The sequence below is a fragment of the Homo sapiens genome, chromosome 4 (genome assembly GCF_000001405.40).
Source record: "Homo sapiens chromosome 4, GRCh38.p14 Primary Assembly".
Classification (NCBI taxonomy): domain Eukaryota; kingdom Metazoa; phylum Chordata; class Mammalia; order Primates; family Hominidae; genus Homo; species Homo sapiens.
In genome coordinates, this window is record NC_000004.12 from 86893908 (window position 1) to 86918985 (window position 25078).

At 44.6% G+C, this 25078-nt stretch overlaps 1 protein-coding gene and 1 pseudogene across 7 annotated transcripts in view, besides 1 other annotated feature; both read right to left on the bottom strand.

Annotated features, from left to right (window-relative positions):
- C4orf36 (chromosome 4 open reading frame 36) overlaps positions 1–25078 on the bottom strand; it is a 60000-nt gene that overhangs the window by 17703 nt on the left and 17219 nt on the right. The window contains exon 3 of one of the 7 annotated variants that reach the window (NM_001414640.1): positions 16658–16726. The exons of the other annotated variants lie outside the window; for them this stretch is intronic. The gene's annotated coding sequence lies outside the window, so the exon portion shown is untranslated. The remainder of the gene's footprint in view (positions 1–16657; positions 16727–25078) is intronic. 7 annotated transcript variants of the gene reach the window in all.
- On the bottom strand, positions 19021–21010 carry ARPC1AP4 (ARPC1A pseudogene 4; annotated as a pseudogene).
- Positions 21081–21580: an enhancer, noted in NCBI's record as "H3K27ac hESC enhancer chr4:87836141-87836640 (GRCh37/hg19 assembly coordinates)". NCBI's record gives its function as "activates a minimal SCP1, AML or CMV promoter by ChIP-STARR-seq in primed H9 embryonic stem cells {active_cell/tissue: H9 hESC(primed)}" and the evidence as "EXISTENCE:reporter gene assay evidence [ECO:0000049][PMID:30033119]".

A 25078-nucleotide genomic window follows, 5' to 3' on the forward strand; every position in this document is an offset into this window, starting at 1 on the left:
ATTTATTGAGATGGAGTCTCGCTCTGTCGCCCAGGCTGGAGTGCAGTGGCGCCATCTCAGCTCACTGCAAGCTCTGCCTCCCGGGTTCACGCCATTCTCCTGCCTCAGCCTCTCGAGTAGCTGGGACTACAGGCGCCCGCCACCACGCCCAGCTGATTTTTTTGTATTTTTAGTAGAGACGGGGTTTCACCGTGTTAGCCAGGATGGTCTAGAGCTCCTGACCTCGTGATCCGCCCACCTCGGCCTCCCAAAGTGCTGGGATTATAGGCGTGAGCCACCGCGCCCGGTCTTTGGCCGGAATTTTTAAAAATGAGTTAGCATAGAATGGCGAATAAAATTAGAGTACATCACACAGATAAGTGTAAGAAGGTATTATTTTGTGGCACTTTCATTTCTGTTATATACATATATATATACACATATACACATACGTGTGTGTGTGCTCAGGCTCAATGTACAGCCCTTAACAATGGGTCTAAAAAATTTGAAAGGCACTTTCTTAGGTGATTTTATTTTAGAGATGAAAAAACAGAGACAGAGAAGTTATTTGAGGTTATATCCAGATAGGGGACAAGCCACCTTAGAAGGGAAGTTCCTCATGGTTCCATGGTAAGTTCTCTTTTTATAGTTGTAGAAATAGGTCTAGGGCCACACCAGAAGAGGTCAAGCCTGTGATTTCTTTATACAGGAACTCCATTTCCAGCATATGCATAAAATTCCTGACAATTGTATTTAGTTATTTCCTGTGTGACTCACTGTGAACAAATATGGTGGACATTACTGTGTATGACTTCTGAGATAAGGTCATAAAAGGTATTGTGGCTTCCTTCTTGCAGTCTCTCTTGGGTCACTCACCCTAGGAGAGACTGGCTGCCATTTGAAAGGACACTCAAGCTGCCTTATGGAGAAATTCATAAGGAATTGAGGGCTTTTGCCACCAACTATGTGATTAAGCCATCTTGGAAGCAGATGCTTCAAGGCCCAGTCAAGCCTTCAGATAACTTTAGCCCCAGCTGAGGTCTTGACTTAAACTTCGTGAGAAATTCTGAGCCAGAACCACCCAGCTAAGTCACCCTAGGATTCCTGGCTCTCAGAAAATATAGGATAATAACTGTTCATCATAGTTGGGCACGGTGGCTCATGCCTGTAATCTCAACACTACGGCAGGCTGAGACAGGAGGATCACTTGAGCCTGGGAGTTCAAGACCAGCCTGGGCACCATAGTGAGACCCCATCTTTACAGAAAGTAGAAAAAAAACTTAGCTGGATGTGGTGGCACACACCTGTAGCCCCAACTACTCCAGAGGCTGAGGCAGGAGGATCCCTTGAGCCCAGGAGGTTGAGGCTGCTGTGAGCCATGATCACGACTGCACTCCAGCCTGAGTGGCAGAATGAGACCCTGTCTCAATTAAAAAAAAAAATCATTATTTCCTCATTTTAAGCTACCAACTTTTGGGATAATGGTTACACAACAATAGATAGCATTAGACAGCAATAGATACCACTAAATATCTTATTGTAGAAGGAATGTTTTATATAGAGGAAAATGCTCATCTTTTTATAATTAAGATTAATACTAAAATTAAAATGAACAGTAAAACACATTACACTTTACAGACATTTGCCATCCAGGACGACTTAAGATCCTTAACATTGTCAACACAAAAAAATACATGGCCTCTGCCACTTCCCCACATGTATTTTAAAATAATACAATTTTCTAGAAGGTGGATGTCCAAAAGAGATCTGGTTTTTCTCACAATGACTATTTCAGTATATCCTTTTGAAATATCAAATTCTTTCTACAATTTCTTCCCCTCTCTCTCCCTCTTTCCCTCTATTTCTATCTCTATCTCTATTGATGTCTCTATACCTATCTCTATTGCTATCTCTATTCATCTTTTTCCCCCCTGCTTTGCTGGCGTCCTACACACATCTTTCTATTAGGTAAGGCTTCACCCATCTCTTCTATGCCAGAAAGTAAGCAAGTATCCTTTTAATTGGTTAAGAGAGCATTGCTGCCACCTAGTGTTAACACTAAAGCACAAGAAGGAATGCAAAAGATCAACACCTAACACAGAAACAATAATAGTGTGGTAACTTTACAGTCATTTACTATGTTTTGAGTACTGGTGAATGTATTTCATATACATTGTCTCAATTATCACACAATAAATGCTACTATTAATTTAGTGGTGGGATTTTAGGAATATTAGAGAAGAAAAAATGGAGGCACCTCAACCACGAATAACTTTTCTAAGGTTACAGGATTTGAACCCAGACTGCCTTATTCTAATTTTTGTGCCGTCCTCATCACACTGCACTACATATTCTCCCAGGACTATAATTAGGGCAAGGTTTTAGATTACACATTTGAAAACAGTTACGCAACTACCCTTTTCAAATATAATTTCTCATGACATACATGTATATATGTATGTGTATCGTCATTCTCATTTCAAAAAGTGACATTTTCTTTCTTTTAACTTAATGTGTAAATCACAAATGCAGCTTACAGTTTTCTAATGACTATTATAAAACTCTCTAGTAATGACACCAATTCTAGGATAACGACAAAACAACACATCTGCAAAAACTTTAAAATCACCAAATAACGGCCCTAAATATTCTCCACCCTTCTGTACTAGTTTCTAATTGTCTCACCTGTCTGGCCACTCCTTTGCTTATTTCTCTCATTCTTCTCGCCCTTAAATTTATGTCTTCCCGTAGTCCATTTGTTCTGCCTCAGTACTCTCAGTGGCTCTGTTCTCACTAATGTAACTATCATTTCTCCTTGGATGGGTCCCAAATCTGATTCTCTAGCCAGCCTTGGCTTCTCTCCTAGATGCGTATCCGTTTGTGGGAACTTCCTACTGGACTATCTTGTTCAGAAGAAAATTTCAACATAACCAAAATGTAATTCATCTCCTACTCCCTAAATCATCTCCTCTGTCTATCTTTTCTATTTCTGGGAATGGCCCATGAGTCTCCTATGAGCCAGGCTTAGAGGACTGGAGTCATTTTTAAAGTATATTGCTGGCCACCTACTCCATGCTAGCCATCATTCTTAGCCACTTTACATGGCATCTGACCCTCACAGATTAAGGGGGAAGAAACTAATACTTTCCCTAGTACAGTTAAGGGGGAAAAATGTTTAAAGGGCTCTAAAATGGCCAGACACAGCGGCTCATTCCTGTAATCCCAGCACTTTGGGGGGTCAAGGTGGGTGGATTGCTTGAGTTCAGGAGTTCAAGACCAGCCTGAGCAACATGGCAAAACCCCATCTCTACAAAATATACAAAAATTAGCAGGGTGTGGTGGCACGTACCTGTAGTTCCAGCTACTCAGAAGGCTGAGGTGGGAGGATTGCTTGAGCCTGGGAGGTGGAGGTTGCAGTGAGCTGAGATCGTACCACTGCACTCCAGCCTGGGTGAATGAGTGAGACTCTGTCTCAAAAAAGAAAAAAAACATACATACATAAAGGGCTATAAAAGTGACTTGTTTATGATTACACAACTAGTAAGTTGTAGAGCCAGATTTGAACCCAGGTCAGTTTTACTCCTGAGCTACCTCCTTTAAGTTCTCTGGATTCTCTCACCCAGCCACAGTTCCTGTATCCACAAAACTCCCATTGTATCCTTACAAAAACATTCATCCACTCACCCATTTTGGTTGCTCTAGAGTGGGTTTCTATACCTTAGACACATTATTGCATGACCAAAACAGACAATAATGGCTGCAGCTAGTGGTAGACTTCTCTACTCTTCTTAGAGGCAGAAGTCACAATCTCCAGGTGCCCTGTTCCTTGGGAGACAAAGCAGGTCAGAATCCATTCTCCTGTTCCAAGATATAGCATGTGATTTACAGCCTAGGATCCTCTGCAGAGCTGGAGTAGTGGGAATCCCTGGCTGGTTCTCAGGCTGGCACCACCAAACCTGCATCTGCCACGGAGCAGCTTATACCAGGAAAGCTCAGCCCCTGACAACTACATTTGAATTCCTCCCTCAGGCAAGCACAAAGCATTAGTTCTAAGTATAGGAAAAAAAAGTATTTCCTTACATATCTTAATACATGAGACCTTTAGGCTGTTACAACGTCACCCTATAAAGTACTAATTAAAGCAAAGGATTTACCTGCTTCAGTTCAATTGAAGTTTCAATTTCATGCTGACTTATAATGTTGCTTTAAAAGTATATCACAGAGGCCAGCCAAAGTGGCTCACGCCTGTAATCCCAGCACATTAGGAAGCCAAGGTGGGTAGATCACTTGAGGCCAGGGGATCAAGACCAGCCTGGCCAACATGGTGAAACCCCGTCTCTACTAAAAATACAAAAATTAGCCAGGTGTGATGGCACGTGCCTGTAGTCCCAGCTACTTGGGAAGCTGAGACACAAGAATCGCTTGAGCCCAGGAGGCAGAGGTTGCAGTGAGCCGAGATCATGCCACTGGCCCCCAGTCTGGGTGACAGAGCAAGTATCTGTCTCTAAATAAATAAAAATATATCATTGGGCCAGGTGCTGGGGCTCACACCTGTAATCCCAGCACTTTGGGAGGCCAACGTGGGCAGATGGCTTGAGCCCAGGAGTTCGAGACCAGGCTGGGCAACATGGTAAAACCCTTCTCTATTTTTTTAAATAAATAATTAAAAGAATAAAAAGAGTATATCATTAGTTTGAAACTAGGAGAAATTAGAAAACTGAGATAAGATCTCTAATTATAAATATTATTTTTGAGTCACATTTTATTGGCTTTTAAAATATATTATAAATGGAACACCTATAATCCCCACTACTCAGCAGACTGAGGCGAGAGAATTGTTTGAGCCCAGGAGTTCCAGGAGGTGGTGCTCTATGATCGCACCTGTGAACAGCCACTGCCCTTCAGCCTGGGCAACATAGCAAGTCCCTGTCTCTAAAAGTAAAAATAAAAATTTAAAATCCCATTCAACTGAACTCTTCCTGAGGAAATGGAGGCCAGAACAAGAGGCCGAGTGCTCTGATAGAAAGTCTAATCACGAAATTCAAGAAATCTGAACCTGCCAGGCACAGTGGCTCATACCTGTAATCCCAGCACTTTGGGAGACTGAGGTGGGAGGATCACTTGAGCCCAGGAGGTCAAGGCTGCAGTGAGCCACGATTGTGCCACTGTACCTGGTCAACAGACTGAGAGTGAGACCCTGTCTCAAAAATAAATACAGAACTTCTCTCGCTGAAGCACTGACCTCCTAATGATAAATCTGTCTGAGGATTTTACTCAATTTTTTTTTGTCTGCTCGCTCCTCTAAAACAAATTATTAATTCTTTCTCAGCTTCTTAGTTTCAAAGTACCAACAATAAGTCAAAGGACACCCCTGCAGTTCATTAGTAGACATTGCAATCTCTGTGCTTTTAATTATATATTGCACATTTGAGAAATGAAAAAAGAGATAAAATAATGCCAGAAATCCCCACAGAACCAAGAGTTGTAGAAAGAAAGACAAAATAAATAAAATAATAACATTTAAAAATTAAAATAATGCCAGAACAAGCTTACGTCTATCCCAATGTTAAGGAAAGTCTCTAAAATGTATTTAAGTAGTCTTATAGAGTCTACTCAGTTTCTAAATCTGGTATTCCATTCTAAATTTCAGGCAGTGCCAGGCACAGTGGCTCACTCCTGTGATCCCAGCACTTTCAAGAGGCAGTGGTGGACAGATTGCTGAAGTCCAGGAGTTTGAGACCTGCCTGGGAAATATGAGACCTTGTCTCTACAGAAAATCTAAAAATATATACATATTAGCCAAACATGGTGGTGCCTGCCTGTAGTCCCAGCTACTCAGGAGGCTGAGGTGGGAAGATCACTTGAGCCTGAGAGACAGAAGTTGCTGTGAGCCAAGATAGTGCCTCTGCAGTCCAGCATGGGAAATAGAGCGAGCCCCTGTCTCAAATAAATAAAATTTCATGAAACTGGACATGTTCAGAATAATACTTCAAATTCCAGAAAATGCTTTACATTTTGCAAAGTGTGAGTCTTTAAAAGAAGACTTGAAACCCCACAAGCAGAGTGTGACAATTAATGACTTTGTAGTAAGTTTCATTAAAAACTAGTACTGGTCTTACAACTCTAGCCAAAATGTAGGTGTGATAGGCAGCTTTTTTTTTTTTTCTGAGACTGAGTCTCACTCTGCCGCCCAGGCTGGAGTGCAGTGGCACAATTTCAGCTCACTGCAACCTCCGCCTCCTGGGTTCAAGCAACTCTCCTCCCTCAGCCTCCCGTGTAGCTGGGACTACAGGCGCCTGCCACACCTGGCTAATTTTTGTATTTTTAGTAGAGACAGGGTTTCACCATGTTGGCCAGGCTGGTCTTGAACTCCTGACCTCAAATGATCCACCCACCTCAGCCTCCCAAATTGCTGGGATTACAGGAGTGAGCCACCGCACCTGGCAGTAGGCAGAATTCTAAGATGGTTCCTGTTACTGGGAGATTTGTATCCCTGGTCCCCAAAATTAATGTGTTGAGATCCTAAACCCCAGTATCTCAGACTGTGACTTTATTTGAAGATAGGGCCTTTCAAAGAGGTAATTAGGGTAAAATAAGGTCACAGGGGTGGGTCCTAATCCAATATGACTGGTGTTCTTATAAAACAAGATTAGGACACAGAAATGCAAGAGCAAAGACCATGTGCATTACAAAAAGGCCAGACCCCTCTTTCTCTGGCCAGGTTGGTTAAGACACACACTCTTGCCCTGACCTTGGCTCCCTCCATGGTTTTGGAATCTAAAGCTGGTGAGTCGAAGAAGCAGGGAGAGTAGAGAAGCTGCCCGCCCATGATGCCTGAAATCAGGCTGGACTTCAACACCAGGATAAAGGCATGCCATAGCTAACAGCACAGTGAGGGAGTCAGATGCATGGGCCCTGCTACCAAACTGCCTGGGTTTGGATCCCTGCACCACCTCTGACAAGCTATGTATCTGATGCTAGATATCCTAGCAACAGACAGGTAAATCTTGGACATTACAATTTTCCTCAACACAGCAGAGTGAGCTGTTCAAATTGTAAGCCAGATCATGTCTGTCTGCTCAAATCCTGCAGTGGTTCCTTTTTTTTTTTTTTTTTGACATGGAATCTTGCCCTGTCACCCAGGCTGGAGTGCAGCAGTGCAATCTCGGCTCACCACAACCTCTGTCTCCTGGGTTCAAGTGATTCTCGCGCTTCAGCCTCCCAAGTAGCTGGGGTTACAGGCACATGCCACCACACCCGGCTAATTTTTGTATTTTTAGTACAGATGGGGTTTCACCATGTTGGCCAGGCTGGTCTCGAACTGACTTCAAGTGAGCCACCTGCCTCGGCCTCCCAAAGTGCTGGGAATACAGGCATAAGCCACTGAGCCCGGCCAATGGTTCTCTTTTCATTCAGAGAAAACAACCGAAGTCCTCACAGTGACCCACAGATCATATCTGATCTCTTCTCTCTGTCTCTCTCACTCACACTCACACACACAGCTTTTATTTATTTTTATTTATTTATTTTTTATTTTTTGAGACGGAGTCTCTATCTGTCGCCCAGGCTGGAGTCCAGTGGCGCGATCTCGGCTCACTGCAAGCTCCACCTCTCAGGTTCACACTGTTTTCCTGCCTCAGCCTCCCAAGTAGCTGGGACTACAGGCACCCGCCACCGCACCCGGCTAATTTTTTTTTTGTATTTTTAGTAGAGATGGGGTTTCACCATGTTAGCCAGGATGGTCTCGATTTCCTGACCTCGTGATCTGCCCGCCTCGGCCTCCCAAAGTGCTGGGATTACAGGCGTGAGCAACCGCGCCCGGCCACACACAGCTTTTATAACCTCCACTCATACCAATCTTCATTTGCTTGCTCTGCTTTTCCCTCCATGACCTTCGTGCTCTTTCTTAAGCCTGCCCAGCATACTCCCACCTGCTATGGGTTGAATTGTGTCCCCTAAAAAGATATGTTGAAGTCCTAACTCCCTATACATGCTATACATGTGAATGTGACCTTGTTTAAAAATAGGGTCTTTGCAAATGACCATCTAATCAGGCCAACTTTGCAGGTGACCTCATCTAATCAGGTTTAGAATAGGCCCTAAATCTAATCTCTAGTGTACTTATGACACATATAGATACACAGAAAGAACACCATGTGACCATAGAGGCGAGCCTGGAGCAATGTGTCCACAAGCCAAGGAATGCTAGGGGTTGCTCACAAGGATCAGAAGGTAAAAGAAATAAGGAATTACTCCAGGTGTGGTGGCTCATGCCTGTAATCTCAGCACTTTGGGAGGCCAAAGCGAAAGGATTGTTTGAGCTCAGGAATTCAAGACCAGCCTGGGCAACGTAGTGAAACCCCATCTCTTTTACAAAAAAATTAAAAATTAGCTGGGCATGGTGGTATGCACCTGTTCCCAGCTACTCAGAAGGCTGAGGCAGGGGGATCTCTTGAGCCCAGAAGATCAAGGCTGCAGTGAGCTATGATCGTGCCACTGCAACTCCAACCTGGGCAACAGAATGAGACTCTCAAAAAAAAAAAAAAAAAAAAAAAAGAAAGAAAGAAAGAAAAAAAAGGGAATGAACAGACTCTCTTCAGAGCCTCCAAAAAAGCACCAATACTGCTGACACCTTGATTTCAGACTTATAGCCTCCAGGACTGGGAGAGAACAAATTTCCATTGTGAATCCCCCAGCGTGGTACCTTGGGAAACTAATACACCACCACCTGCCTTTACCTTAGCTGTTCCTACTACCTGCAACATCCATCTTCCAAACATCCAGATAACTTGCCCACCTCCGTCAAGGCTTTGCCAAGTACCCTTTTCAAAACTGCTGCTTCTGACACCTGTGCTGACAACCCCCTTACCCTGCTCTAATCTATTTCAGCACTTATCACCTTCTAACATCCTATAGTTTATTATGTTTATTGTTTTGATCATCATCTATTGTTAGAATTTGAGCTCCGTAATCATATGGAATCTTTATTTCTTTCACTGAGGACCCTGTATGCCAAACAGTGTAATAAAAAAAAATAAAGAACAGTGAATATCATGAAAGACAAGACAGTGGTTACCTTTGAAGGGAGAGAGGGGGCTGTGATTTGGAAGGTACATGGTGGCTTCTGACTTGCAGGCAGTGTTCTATTTCTTAACCTGGTTAGCAGCTTTAGAGATAATTGCCTTCTCATTATTTGTTAAACTGTACATTTATGTTTATGCATCTTTCCTTGTGTGCTATTTTCACAAGAAAAGGAAGCCTCAAGAATTTTCACATTTCTTCCATGAGGAAAGGGAGATTTATTGCTTTAAAATATTGTTTATAAAAATGTTGTAAGTGGCCAGGCCCGGTGGCTTGGCTCACGCCTGTAATCCTAGCACTTTGGGAGGCCGAGGCCGGTGGATCACGAGGTCAAGAGATCGAGACCATCCTGGACAACATGATGAAACCCCCTATCTACTAAAAAATATAAAAATTAGCTGGGTGTGGTGGTGCACACCTGTAGACCCAGTGTCCCCGTAATCAGTCGGTTCTTGGTCTCGCTGAATGAAGCCACAGACCCTTATGGTGAATGTCACAGCTCTTAAAAGCAGCGCATCTGGAATTGTTCATTCCTTCCAGTAGGTTCGTGGTCTCGCTGGCTTCAGGAGTGAAGCTGCAGACCTTCATGGTGAGTGTTACAGCTCCTAAAGGTGGCGCAGGCCCAAAGAGAAAGCAGCAACAACATTTATTCCAAAGATCAAAAGAACAAAGCTCCCATACCATCGAAGACAACCCAAGCAAGTTGCCGCTGCTTGCTCTGGTGGCCTGCCTTTATTCCCTTATCTGACCCTACCCACATCCTGCTGATTGGTCCATTTTACAGAGAGCTGATTGGCCCATTTTACAGAGAGCTGATGGGTCCGTTTTGACAGGGTGCTGATTGGTGCGTTTATAAACCTTGAGCTAGACAGAGTGGTGATTGGTGCATTTACAATTACTTAGCTAGACACAAAATTTCTCCAAGTCCCCACTGACTAGCTAGACACAGAGCGCTGATTGGTGCGTTTACAAACCTTTAGCTAGACACAGAGCGCTGATTGGTGCGTTCACAAACCTCTAGCTAGACACAGAGTGCTGACTGGTGCATTTACAATCCTTTAGCTAGGCTGAAAAGTTCTCCAAGTCCCCACCCATCCCAGAAGCCCAGCCAGCTTCACCTCTCACTGGCACGCTGGCACTCGCCGGGACTTTGCGTCACCCAGCCTGGGCACTCCGGTAGCCCAGAAGGAGCTCATCCCGAGATCAAGCCCAGCAGGAACCGGCCGCCGCGCCCAGTGCGGGGCCAGCCGAGCCTGCGCCCACCCGGAACCCGCGCCGGCTAGCGAGCGCCTTGCGCAGCCCTGGCTCCGCCCGCGCGTTTCTCTTCACACTTCCCCGCGAGCACAGGGAGCCGGCTCCGGCCTCGGCCAGCCCCAGAGAGGGGCCCTCATAGCGCAGCGGCGGGCTGAAGGGCTCCTCGAGTGCGACCAGAGCGGACGCCAAGGCCGAGGAGGCGCGGAGAGTGAGCGAGGGCTGGTAACACGTTGTCACCTCTCACCAGCAACTCAGGAGGCTGAGGCAGGGTAATCGCTTGAACCTCGGAGGGGGAGGTTGCAGTGAGCCAAGATCGCGCCACTGCACTCCAGCCTGGCGACAGAGCAAGACTCTGTCTCAAAAAAAAAAAAAAAAAAAAAAAAAGTTGTAAGCTGGCAGCAGTGGTGTACACCTGTAGTCCCGCCTACTCAAAAGGCTGAGGCAGGAGAATTGATTGAGCCCCGGAGTTCAAGGTCAGCCTGGGCCGCATAAAAAGGCCGCATCTCTAAATAATAATAATAATAATTGTAAGTTCAATGATTACAGATTCGAAAAGTACACTTGGAGTTCATAATTCTCCAAAAGAGAAGCTACAAAGCAGCAACATGCCACACGTAGCTGCTGTTAAGGACTGAATTGTGCCCCCTCAAAATTCATTCGTTGAAGCCCTAACCCCTAATGTAATTATATTTGAAGATAAGGCCTTTAAGGAGGTAATTAAGACTAAATGAGGGGCGGTTGCGGTAACTCACGCCTGTAATCCCAACATTTTGAGAGGCTGAGGTGGGCGGATGGCTTGAGCCCAGGAGTTCGAGACCAGTCTAGGCAACATAATGAGACCCCGTCTCTACTAAAATATTTTAAAATTAGGCTGGGCACAGTGGCTCATGCCTGCAATCCCAGCACTTTGGGAAGCCGAGGCAGGCGGATCATTTGAGGTCAGGAGTTTGAGACCAGCCTGGTCAACATGGTGAAATTCTGTCTCTACTAAAAATACAAAAAAAAAAAAAAGGTAGCTAGGCATGGTGGCACATGCCTGTCGTCCTTGCTACTCAGGAAGCTGAGGCAGGAGAATCACTTGAACCCGGGAAGTGGAAGTTGCAGTGAGCCGAGATCACACCACTGCACTCCAGCCTGGGCAACAGAGACTCCATCTCGAAATAAATAAATAAATAAATAAAATAGCCAGATGTGGCAGTTGCGTGCCTGTAGTCCCAGGTACTTGGGAGGCTGAGGTGGGAGGATTGCTTGAGCCCCAGAGATTAAGGCTGCAGAGAGCTATGATGGCACCATTGCACTCTAGCTTGGGTGACAGAGCAAGATCCTGTCTCAAGGAAGAAAAGAAACCTTGCATCTGGTATGAAATGTTAGACAGAGTTTTGGGGTAGAGTTGGGAAGACAAGTGGTGATCTGAGGTTGGCCCCAGAAAAACCACAGTCCCCATTATCCAGGAAGATGGTTCTGAACACCACTTAGGCTTCTGAGGTCCTTTTTTTTTTTTTTTCTTTTTTTTTGAGACATAGTCTCGCTCTGTTGCCCAGGCTGGAGTGCAATGGCACAATCTTGGCTCACTGCAACCTCTGTCTCCAAGGTTCAAGCAATTCTGCCTCAGCCTCCCGAGTACCTGGGATTACAGGCACCCACCATCACGCCCAGCTGACTTTTCTATTTGTATTTTTAGTAGAGACAGGGTTTCACCATATTGGCCAGACTAGTCTTGAACTCCTGACCTCAAGTTATCCACCTACCTTGGCTTCCCAAAGTGCTGGGATTACCCACGTGAGCCACCGCTCCTGGCCCTGAGGTTCTGATTCCTGTTTGATGAACCTGAAGATGATTAGTCAGCAAACCGGGGCTAGGTGGGATGGGCCCATCAGTAATCCTGACTACCTCAGAGGGCATAAGGGCCACTGACCTTCAGAACTCAGCCATTTCCCGGGATATGCTCAGATCCGCAATAAACTGGGAACAAATTCTAATGATTAGGAAGGATTTTAAAATCAATGTTTATTAAAGAGGAGGGCCCTGCATGTTTCTATTTCTCTCTACAGAGAGCTTTTATGGCCTTTAATGTAGAGTAGATTGAACAATACTTCTCAGAGGAAGCTCTCTGGAATCCATAAGAATTAAGTGGGGAATGACGTTAAAATGCATATTACCAGGCTCTGACCTCAAATATTCGGATTCAGATAGTATGGGCCAGGGATCAAGAATCAGCTTTTTAGGCCAGGCATGGTGGCTTAGGCCTGTAATCTCAGCATTTTGGGAGGCCAAGGCAGGCAGATTGCTTGAGGCCCGGAGTTCGAGACCAGCCTGGGCAACATGGCAAAACCTAATCTCTACCAAAAACACAAAAATTAGCTGGGTGTGGTGGTGCATGTCTGTAATCCCAGCTTCTTGGGAGGCTGAGGCATGAGAATTGCTTGAACTGGGGAGGAGGTGAAGGTTGCAGGGAGTTGAGATCGCATCGCTACACTCCAGCCTGGGCAACACAGCAAGACGGTCTCAAAAAAAAAAAAAAAAAAAAAAAAGAATTGGCTGGGCACGGTGCCTCACACCTGTAATCCCAGCACTTTGGGAGGCCAAGGCAGGCAGATCACTTGAGGTCAGGAATTTGAGGCCAGCCTGGCCAACATGGCAAAACCCCATCTCTACTAAAAATACAAAAATTAGCCAGGCATGGTAGTGCACACCTGTAATCCCAACTACTAGGGAGGCTGAGGCAGGAGAATTGCTTGAACCCAGGGGGCGGAGGTTGCAGTGAGCCAAGATTGCACCACTGCACTCCTGCCTTGGTGACAGAGCAAGACTCCATCTCAAAAATAAATAAATAAATATTAAAATAAAAATTTAAAAAAAGAATCAGCTTTTTACAAGTAAGTGTTTAAGGTGATTCTCTGTCAGATGTTTTTAGACATTTCTCCAAGAGTGGCCCAGAGACCACTGGTGTGAGATGATCACTTAGAGTCTTGTGAAAAATACAAATTTCCTAGACATCCTGAATTTTAGTAGGGAAAAGGGCGATAGGGAGTGGAGCCCAGGATTCTGCATTTTAAAGAGGCTTCCCAGTTAAAAGTTTACTGGCAAATGTTAAGAACCACCTGCCTAGGGAATAATAAAATGTTCTCTTGGAGAGGAGGGAGGGGATCAGGAAAAATATTATAACTAGATATAATGGATACTAGGCTTAATAGCAGGGTGATGAAATAATCTGTGTACCAAACCCCCATGACACATGTAACAAACCTTCACATCCTACACATGAACCCCTGAACTTAAAATAGAAGTTGAAAAAAATGTTGTCTTGAATGGGCCATGACCTGGAAGATCTGTTTCTGCTAAATCTCATTAAGCTACTTTGGGGGTATTTTCATGAGGAAACACAACACAAAGACTCAAGGGAGGAATGAAAAAGAGACAGGGCACTGTTTAAGGACAGGAGTTTGGTAATAACCAAGAATGGTATCACATCAGGCCAGGTGTGGTGCCTCACACCTGTAATCCTAGCACTTTGGGAGGCCAAGGCGGGTGGATCACTTGAGGCCAGGAGTTCGAGACCAACATGACAAAACCCCATCTATCCTAAAAATACAAAAAATTAGCCAGGCATGGTAGCGCACGCCTGTAATCCCAGCTGCTCAGGAGGCTGAGGCAGGAGAATTGCTTGACCCGAGGAGCAGAGGTTGCAGTGAGCCGAGATCATGCCACTGCACTCCAGCCTGGGTGACTGTGCCTCAGAAAAAAAAAAAAAAGAGAAAAAAAGAAATGGTGTCACATCAAATAATTTGTATAAAGTTTCTCCAGTGGGAGGGCCACAACACATTTGCTCCCTACTCATCCTTGCTTTGCCTGCAGAGAGCACAATTTTTCTTACACATAGATGCTCAATAAGTATCTGTTGAATTGTTTTGAATGTATTCCCCTTTGGAGAACTATACTTTCAACATACACACACACACACACACACACACACACACACACACACACACACACACACGTTGCTGGTGTTTGGATGAGCATATATGTGTGTTTATGGGTAGGGGCAGAAGAAGTGATGATGAAAGAAAGTGGGTTTGATAAAGGGAGGGAGATAAAATTGAGTGAACTGCTGAGTAGATTTGAGTTATACTTAAGGAAAACGTAACTACAAGTTCTATTTTGGTTTACTTCCTCTCTTGCCCTGGGATCTTAAGCAAGCAAGCTACTTTCGTTTCTCTATTTCAACAGTGTCTTTTTTTTTTTTTTGGAATGTGCCTTGTGGAATTATTTTTAAAAGTAAGTAATATGAGATTGGAAAGCACCTTTTCCTCTTAGCCAAAAGTGTGCAGAAGAGAATTTCCACCATCTGGGCCACTTCAATAAGAGAAGTACACTTACACTCTCTCTCTCTCTCTCTCCCCCTCCCTCCCCCTCCTCAACCTTACTCTCTCTCTCTCCCTCCCTCCCTCCTGAAGATCATTTATTTAGTAAATGTTTATTGAGAATTAATTATATGCTAGAAGCTGTGATAACTTCTGGGATAGCAAACAAGACATGACTACTACCCACTATTGTTGTAGAATCTGGAGAATTCAGGGTCTGAATTCTCAGACGTCGGAAGATCAAAGAAAAGTCACTAACCAGCCCTCCTGGCACAGGTGGGCAAGTTCCAGTGTGAGAAGCCAGGCTTCCAGCTGTCCAAGTGGAAACTCAGCGGGATCCCTCTTAGTGATCAGGGCTTGTACTTGGGAGGAAGTGCTTGTACTTGGTGTGGAGCAGACAGCAAGGACATATGGAACTCACCCCCACCTTTACCTGTCTCTCAATGTGGTGGGGAGTGGGACAAGTTGGGATATGCCAATCTCTCTGTGTCCTTCTCCCATAGAATGGCTGCTGGTTCACATCTATCTCCCATGACCCATATCTCATGCAGGCTCCTCTTTTTCTAACTTTTAACACAAATTATTCAGGGAAGGGGATTCTGGGAACTATAGTTCCAACTTAGCCAAGCTAACACCATTACATATGAGGAGCTGGGTCAAGAAGTGATGAAAGAGAATTCTCAAGACACCAACACTTGGCTGAAGGTGTCAAAATCAAAGTAAAGATTCTAAGCAAAAGTGCTTGTTCAGGTCCCAAGCCGTTTGCAACTTCTCAAAAGCTTCTTTGAGTGGTCTCCTGTGTCAGCACTAGAATTTTCCTACATAACAAACAGCAAACCGGCTGCAGGAAGGTAGAAGTCAGCTGGTAAATAAATATATGGCTGATACCCAATACAGTGACCACAGGCGCAACAATTAAGGATGATCACTGAATTTCTATATCTCAGTGCGACACGATAGCTATTAACAATCACTTTAAATTCTAATTTTTTATCAGATTTAGATTTATGAGGTATGGAATACTCCTCTGTTCAAATATTTATTAATGCTTACTATAAGCCTCGTGAAAGTGAAACATCCTACTAAACTCTGTATGAACCAACTACACACCCTTCTATCAGTCCTTGCTTACAACACCTCAAATCCCCTGCCCAACTGTGCCAGATTCTCTGCAAGACTTACAGTAAATAAAACCTAGCGATACACTGAGCCACATGATAAAGTCACAAGCTCTTCGCCCAGAAAGATTGAGCGTAATTCCTTAAATTAAGGTGATTTGGAGCCAGGTGCCTGGGCAACAGAGGAAGACTTAAAAAAAAAAAAAAAAAAAAAAAAGGTTATTTGGTTAAAAATAGCGGAACTTCTAGGGAACTAATTTAAACTGAAAGTGGGATTTATAATAAAGATACTGGCTTATCTCATTGGACACAAGCACAGGAATGCAGCCAGCCCTCAGGCAGAGACTGAAATAAAGAAGTAGAAGGAGCACCCCACTGCATTTCATTTCTGCTTCTCTCTGTGCACTTGCCCCTTCTGCCTGCAAGCTGAATTTTTCTGTTCTTCAAAACACAAGATGAAGCTGGGTGTGGTTCCTCATGCCTGTAATCCCAGCACTTTCGGAGGCCAAGGCGGGCAGATCACTTGAGACCAGGAGTTTGCGTCTCTACTAACAACACAAAATTAGCCAGGTGTGGTGGCTTGCACCTGTAATCCCAGCTACTCAGGAGGCTGAGGCAGGAGAATCACTTGAACCCGGGAGGTGGAGTTTGCAGTGAGCTGAGATCGCACCATTGCACTCCATCCTGGGCAACAGCGCAAGACTCTGTCTCAAAAAAAATTAAAAATTAAAAAATTAAAATGTTTTTAATGGCAGAATATAAAAAGTAACAATCTTTTGCAAAACGGAGAAAGAAGGAAGACCTAGGGAAAGTGCTTAGGTAGAAATGTGAAAATATCATCCCAAGGGACAGGGTGTGACTGACCTCTATTGGTTGTAGCAGATTATTTGTTAGGAGGTCATCGAATGCCATCTAAGAAGTGTGAAGTTGATCCTGGAAGAAACAGGATTTGAGGAGTCAGTGTGCTGTGGCATAACCAGATTTATGCTTAGAAAAAGGGAAATCGGTCCATGGCAAGACGGAGAATGGTTTAGAGGACATAAAAGCTAGGGGCAGGAAGTCAAGTTAGAAAGTTTTGCATGAGGCCGGGCACAGTGGCTCATGTCTGTAATCCCAGCACTTCGGGAGGCCGAGGCGGGTGGATCACGAGGTCAAGAGATCAAGACCATCCTGGCCAACATGGTGAAACCCCTGCTGTACTAAAGATACAAAAAAAATAGCTAAAAAAAAAAAATAGCTGAGCGTGGTGGCTTGCACCTGTAGTCCCAGCTACTCAGGGGGCTGAGGCAGGAGGATTGCTTGAACCTGGGAGGCAGAAGTTGTAGTGGGCCAAGATCATGCCACTGCACTCCAGCCTGGCGACAGAGTGAGACTCCATCTCAAAAACAAAAAAGAAAAAAAGTTTTGCATGAAATAACCAAGTCAGAATTGAGGGCTGAAACCAAGGTATGTCCTTTGAAATGCAGAGAAACAGAACAGCTGTGGGGAAGTGGAGGCAGAAGGCTTGGTGACAGGTTGGATGTAAGCACTGTCCGGGATGGAGGAGACTTACACTGGCTCTTTTTTGAACAGTGGTGAGATCCCAGCCTTTTCATAGGAATTTCCCCTGCTTATTAGTTTTGTGGAATAAAATCAGATTGGCATAATTCCTCTCATCCTACACCCCCACTCTTGGGAATATCCAACACACAGATCAGACAGATCTGCTACCTCAAATTGTATTACTAGGCTTAATTAACATAAAAGGGCTGCATCTTAATTTCATGGCTGGTATATGGGACTGGAAATCCCCTGGAACTCTACCAAGTCTCTGGCCTTCTGAGCTCAGATGAAGATTTTGGAAAGCTTGCTGAGGGTTTTTTCTTATTTCTTTGATGAGTTTTGCTGCTGCAGCATGCCTTCCTGGTGTTCCAGGTGAGAATACTGAGTGCTCACAACATGCCAGATATTTACTTACATTCTTTGTCTGTCTGTCTGTCTCTCTGTCTCTCTCTTTTCTTTTTTAGAGACAGGGTTTTGCTCTGTGCCCAGGCTGGAGTGCAGTGGCACAATCATGGCTCACTGCAGCCTTAACCTTCTGGGCTCAAGTGATCCTCCCACCTCAGCCTTCCAAGCAGCTGGGACCACAGGCATGCACTATCATGCCTGGCTATTTAGAAAAAAAAAATGTTTTTTTGAGACGGAGTTTTGCTTTTTGTTGCCCAGGCTGGAGTGCAATGGCGTGATCTTGGCTCACTGCAACCTCTGCCTCCTGGGTTCAAGTGATTCTCCTGCCTCAGCCTCCCAAGTAGCTGGGATTACAGGCATGTGCCACCACACCCAGATAATTTTTTGTTTGTTTGTTTTGTATTTTTAGTAGAGACGAAGTTTCTCCATGTTGGTCAGGCTGGCCTCGAACTCCTGACCGCAGGTGATCCACCCACCTCAGCCTCCCAAAGTGCTGGGATTACAGGCGTGAGCCACTGCACTCAGCCATTTAAAAAAACAAAAACAAACAAACAAACAAAACAGAGTCTCACTACATTGCCCAGGCTGGTCTTAAACTCCTGGCCTCAAGTGATCCTCCTGCCTCGGCCTCCCAAAGTGTCGGAATTACAGTCATGAGCCACTGTGCCCAGCCGATTGTCTCTTTTTATTCTTATAATATCCCATTTGGAGAAACTGAGACTCAAAAATGTTAAGGAACCTATTGCCCATACATCATTTAGCTAGTAAATCCAAAACTGGGATCAAACCCTCTTTTAGTCTGGACCCAAAGCTTGGTCCTTGAATCACTACAAGTTCCTGTGTTCTTACTGTAAGTAGCTGCACCTTCTGCCTCCCTGGAATTAATAGGTCTCCTGATAGTCAATGCCTGCCTATATATCCATGAGCCAACTGCTCTGCCTGCTCTCAAAATGGTATTTAGAAAGCAATATTTCGGTATGGTTTTGCTATTGCTATTGAGATGTCAATACTCCCAGGTCCTTTCAGGGGATTGAACTAACCAATGCATGTGTTTGTGCATGTATACACACACACATGAGCATATAGATATGTATATGAGTGTATACATATAAATGTGTATGAATATGGACATGAAAACATATATGTAAATGTGTGTACACATGTTTACATTTATATCTATCTTAATATATTAAAGACCATTAGGTCACTCCAGTGCTTCCAATTCTAATCCATCCACAAGGTTCATTCTAGTTTTCGCTTTTCTTTTTTTTTTTTCAAAACCACATTCAGTTTTTAATTTAATTTTCCACTGGGCAATTTACATATCTCCCTCACACTGTCTTTTAAGTTAGTGTCACAATTTTCCATAATAAACTGCTTAAAGAAGCTTTGGTCAAAAATGGAATGAAGTCGCAATAAAAAAAAAAAAGTACTGCTTTTAAAAAACCAACACTTTAACCAATTTTATATTCAAACAAAACCACATGGTATTGGCGTGATATATGTTCTCAGTGTTTCCTTGGGGCTGGCTTCCTTGCCATCGTGCCACAGCACAGCTGTGATCTTCCACAGTTTGTTGTGCTGGATGGCGGAAGCTCACTCAGCTTCACATCCAGAGGCCCTGGATGGAAGACTCGAGAGTCTTGAAATCCTAAATTGTCATGGCTCCACCGATGTCAGTAGTGCAAAATTTGCGACAATCTTGCTTGCCCACCTCATAAATAGAGACTTGAGTGATGCTATTCGGGTGCAGCATCTCCAACACCGTGTTGCGGTCCTCAGTCGTGGCCCTCTTGTCCATGTTGCAAAAGCATTCATGACAGACATGTTGCGTTGGATGCTCTGTTTTGGAACGTCCAACCTGGAGATGAAGGTCAGGCAGCCTCGGTCATCGAAAAGAGCGTTGGGCAGCAGTCATGGCCAGCAGCCACCACTCTGTTCTCTGAGACAAATGAAACACTTAGGAGCAGCAGGAACTCTGTGTGAGACCTGCACACTTTTTGAGGCATCAGCAACAGACATGGTGCTGTTGTGGCTGACCCAGGCCAGGCGGCTCCCACTGGCAGAGAAGCTGACCCTGTGGACCCAGCCACCAGTGCCACTGCCACCTAACTCTGACATCAGCTGCCCAAAGGGCATCTTGCTGCCCCAGTGCATACTGACTGGCTTTTCATCCACTTTTTTTTTTTTTTTTTTTTTGAGACGGAGTCTCGCTCTGTCACCCAGGCTGGAGTGCAGTGGCACGATCTCGGCTCACTACGAACTCTCCCGGGCTCACGCCATTCTCCTGCCTCAGCCTCCCGAGTAGCTGTCATCCACTTCTTTAATGTAGGCAGAAAACAGTCTGCATTTGAAGTCACATGATCCTGCTGCCAGCAAAACGTCGTTGGGATGGCAATCCAAGCTGAGGACTGTGGAGCGAATTGGCTTTTTAATGTGCTTGCTCACCCACCAGTCATTTTCAGACTCAAAGTAACAAACAGAAATGAATCGTGCTCCACTTCCCACAGCAAATTTGTTCCCTAGTGGGGACTACTTCACAAAAGTAGCTGCACAGTTAATTCTCAGGATCACCAGGGTTGGCTTACAGACACCATCTTTCTGACTCCAGACATAGGCATTGTGGTCTGCCCCACAAGTGACGATGCGGTCGCTCTTGGGAGCCCAGTCAATACCTGTGATATGTCCGTTGTGCTCCTTGAGTTCATGAGCTTTCACCCCCCGGCTCCCGTTCTTCTTCTTCCTTTTTTTTTTTTTTTTTTTTTTTTTTTGAGACAGAGTCTGGCTCTATCGCCCAGGCTGGAGTGCAGTGGCACGATCTCAGCTCACTGCAACCTCCACCTCTTGGGTACCAGCAATTCTCCTGCCTCAGCCTCCCGGGTAGCTGGGATTACAGGCGCCCGCCACACCATGCCTGGCTAATTTTTGTATTTTTAGTAGAGATGGGGTTTCACCATCTTGGCCAGGCTGGTCTTGAACTCCTGATCTCGTGATCCACCTGCCGAGGCCTCTCAAAGTGCTGGAATTATAGGCGTGAGCCACAGCGCCCGGCTCCGTTCTTCTTATAGATGTGCACTTGGTGATTATTGGAACTGAGGGCAATCTGGGTATGATCCCTGTTCCAGGCACGATAGGTGATTGGCTCTAATAAAAACTGGTGCAGTGACATTATTCTTAGTGTTTTCAAAGGAGAGAAAGCTGGGGTCGGGGGAGTCCGGACGGGCTTGGAGTGGAGGATTCATGGACTCTGGGCAGTCAATGCAAACAGGCCCACCACGGGGACCGATGACTAATTTTCTCTATTTCTATACTTTAATCCCTTTTCTGACAGTGAGAAACCTGACCCTCATTATCTTTGACATATTAGTTTACCTGAATATATTAATCTTCCTGTATATGACCAACCTCCCATCACCTCTTTCATTCCCTCCCCATGCAAACATCCTCCTCACCCCATTGTATTCTGATATGCAATACTAGGCCACCGTAGGCTCGTGGGTGAAAGCCCTCCCATGCCATTTGTGCTCTTGTGTTCTCTGAGCTGCCCCCCTGTATAAGCACCCTCCATCACCCACTCCAGTTCTGACTCCCCACACCAGGTTGCTCCCATGTATGGATGACTTCCTCTCCTTTCTTGGGCTCCAGCACCAGTGCTGGGCCATTTCCATGAATGGATATCCTCCTAATCCCCTTAGGTTCTGACTCTTCACATCAGGCTACTTCCATGTCCACCCAAAACCTGTGAATGTGATTATTCAGAAATAGAGTCATGGCAGATGTAATCAAGTTAAGATGAAGTCATATGGCTTTAGGGTGGGCCTTAATTCAATGACTGATGTACTTAAAGGAGGGAAGGCTGGGCACGGTGATTCACGCCTGTAATCCCAGCACTTTGGGAGGCCGAGGGGGGTGGATCACCTGAGGTTGGGAGTTCAAGACCAGCCTGATCAACATGGAGAAAGAAACCCCATCTCTACTAAAAATACAAAATTAGCTGGACATGGTGGTGCATGCCTGTAATCCCAGCTACTTGGGAGGCTGAGGCAGGAGAATCACTTGAACCCAGGAGACGGAGGTTGCGGTGAGCCAAGATTGTACCATTACACTCCAGCCTGGGCAACAAGACTGAAACTCCGTCTCAAAAGAAAACAATAAATAAAAAAGAAGAGGGAAATTTGGACTCAGATATACAAGGAAAATGCCATGTGATGATGGAGACAGAGGTTGCAGTGATATGTCTACAAGCTAAGGAACACCAGGGAGTGCCAGCAACCACCGGAAGCTAGGAAGAGGGAATGAACAATTCTCCCCTAGAGGCTTGAGAGACAGCATGGCCTGATGACATTTTGCTTTCAGACTTCTGGCCTCCAGAACTATGAGACAATACATTTCTGTTGCTTTAAGGCACTTGGTTTGTGGTCATTTGTTACAGCAGCCCTAGGAAAGTAATACATCTACTTTGTCTGGAACAAGAGGACAGAAGTATGTACTTCCATTGATTTATGTGCAGTTGCTAAGAATTTGGTTGGATGGTCAAGAAAGGAAGAAGATTGAAACACTGGTGACAAAGAAGTATGGGGAATAGGTATGTTGATGCACCTCTTGGAAAGGACATAGACTACAAAGACGTGTGTCTATGTGAATGCTCATCAAGGGAAATTCACAGCAGAGGATGCTCTGAATAACCAAAAGGACAAAATGACATACTATGTGGATGCAAAAAAAAAAAAAAAAAAAACTTTTTCCGGACACTTAATGTTTACTCAATGGGCACATGAATAAAGTGGTCATGATGGCAGGAATGGAGGCTAGACATGGACTCAACAACAGCTTCTCCTGAAGCTCCTAATCAAGATTAGCCAGGCTGACACTATTGCTGAGCACCTTATCTGCCAACAGCAGATGCCAACACTGACCCCTGATATGGCACCATTGCCATATGATTAGCAGCTGTCTGGTAGCAGGCTGATTATACTGGAACTCTTCCATTACTGAGAGGGCAGAAATTCATTCTCATTAGAATTGACACATATTCTGGGTATAAATGCCTTTTCTATTCATAATGATTCTGCCAGAACCTCCACAGACTCATAGAATACCTTGTCCACCATCATGGTATTCCACAGAGCACTGCTTCTGCTCAAGAAACTCATTTCATGGTAATGGGAATACAGCAGTGAACTCATGTCTATAGAATGCGGATACTGCATCATCTAGAAGTGGCTCCCCTAACTTAAAGGCAAAATTGCTTACTGAAAACTCATTTATGCTGCCTGTCTTAGTCTGTTTGAGCTCCAGTAAGAAAATACTATGGACTAGGTGGTTATAAACAAGAGAAATTTACAATCACAGCTGGGTGTGATGGCTCAAGCCTACAATCCCAACACTGGGAGGCCAAGGTGGGAAGATTTCTTAAGGCCAGGAGTTCGAGACCAGCCTGGGCAACATAGTAAGACACCATTTCTACAAAAAAAATAACAAAATTAGCTGGGCTTGGTGGCGTGTGCCTGCAGCCCTAGCTATTCAGGAGGTTGAGGTGAATGAATCCCTTGAGCCCAGGAATTCGAGGCTGCAGTGAGCTATGATCATGCCACTTCACTGCACCCGGGGCAGCAGAATCAGACCCTGTCTTCAAAAAAGAGGAAAGACAGAAATAAAGAAAGGAAGAGAGAGAGAGAGAGATGAAGGAAGGAAGGATGGAAGGAAGGAAGGAAAGGATGGAAGGAAGGAAGGAAAGGAAGGAAGGAAGGAGAGAGAAAGAGAGGAAGAGAGAGAGAAAGAAAAAGAAAGGGAGAGAAAGAGAAAAAGAAAGAAAGAAAAGAAAGAAATAAAGAAAAAGAAAGGGAGAGAAAGAAAGAGAAAAAGAAGAAAGAAAAGAGAGAGAAAGAGAAAGAAAAGTAAGGAAGGAAGAGAGAGTGAGGGAGGGAGGAAGGAGAAGGGAAGGGAAAGAAGGAGGGAGGAAGGGAGGGAGGGAAGAAGAGAAAGAGAAAGGAAGGAGGAAGGAAGGAAAGAAGGAATTTAGTCATGTATCACATAAAAACAAGAATACCTTCTAAGAAGTGTGTTGTTAGCTGATTTTGTCACTGTGAACATCTTAGACTGTGCTTACACAAACCTAGATGGTATAGCCTCCTACGCCCCTAGGCCATGTGAGATAACCTACTCCTCCTAGGCTACAAACCTTTACAGCATGTTACTGTACTGAATACTATTGGCAGTTGAAATGATAAGTATTTGTATAAACATAGAAAAGATAATGTGTTGCACTATCAGTAGGTATAGGAATTTTTCAACTCTACTGTAATCACATGGGACCATCCGTCATTGACCAATATGTCATTATGCAATGCAAGATCAAGGTACCATCCATTTCTGTGTCTGGTGAGATGTCTCTTCTGGATAGACAGCCTTCTTTTCACTCTAATGTCACATGGCAGAAGGGGTGACAGGTCTCTCTCAGTCCTTTTTTTATTTTTAAGGGCACTAATCCCATTCATGAGGGCTATGCCCTCCTGACCTAATCATCTCCCAAAGGCCCCACTTCCAAATACTATCACCTTGGGGGTAAGGATTTCAACATATGAATTTTGGGGGGGACATAAACATTTAGACCACAGCAGTGCCAGATGTGAAACCACACTTTTAAAGATCGGATTCTGACTTGGAAGATGCAGTATATGCTTTGAATCAGAGACCGTGATGTAGTGCCATCTCCTCCACAGCCAGAACAAGAGTCCAGGAATCAAGGAGTATGAGTGAGAGTGGCTCCTTTCACTACTGTATCAAATAACCCACTTATAAAATGTTTCTTCCTATCCTGGCAACTCTAAGACTTGCTGATGTGAAAGTTTTTGTTCTCAAGGGAGAAATGTTTCCATTAGAAATACAACTATGTGTCTAGTCCACTACATTGGAAGATGAGGATAACACCTGACCATCTTGGGCTGCTTATGTCACAAATCAACAGGTAGAATAAGTGGTTTCTATACTGCTAGTGATTGATCCCAACTACCAAAGGGGAACTTAGGTTACTGCTAAACCACGAGGACAAACAGAACTATGTATGGAACCCAGGGGATTTCCTGGGACATCTCTTAATACTTCCATGCCTGTATTAGTCAGGGTTCTCCAGAGAGACAGAACCAACTGTGTGTTGTGTGTGCGTGTGTGTGTGTGTGTGTGTGTGTGCACGTGATATGGGGAGATTTATTAGAGGAATTGGCTCACATGATTATGGAGACTGAGAAATCCCATGACAGGCCATCTGCAAGCTGGAGACCCTGAGATGCTGGTAGTGTGACTCAGTCCAAGTTCAAAATCCTCAGAGCCAGGGAAGCT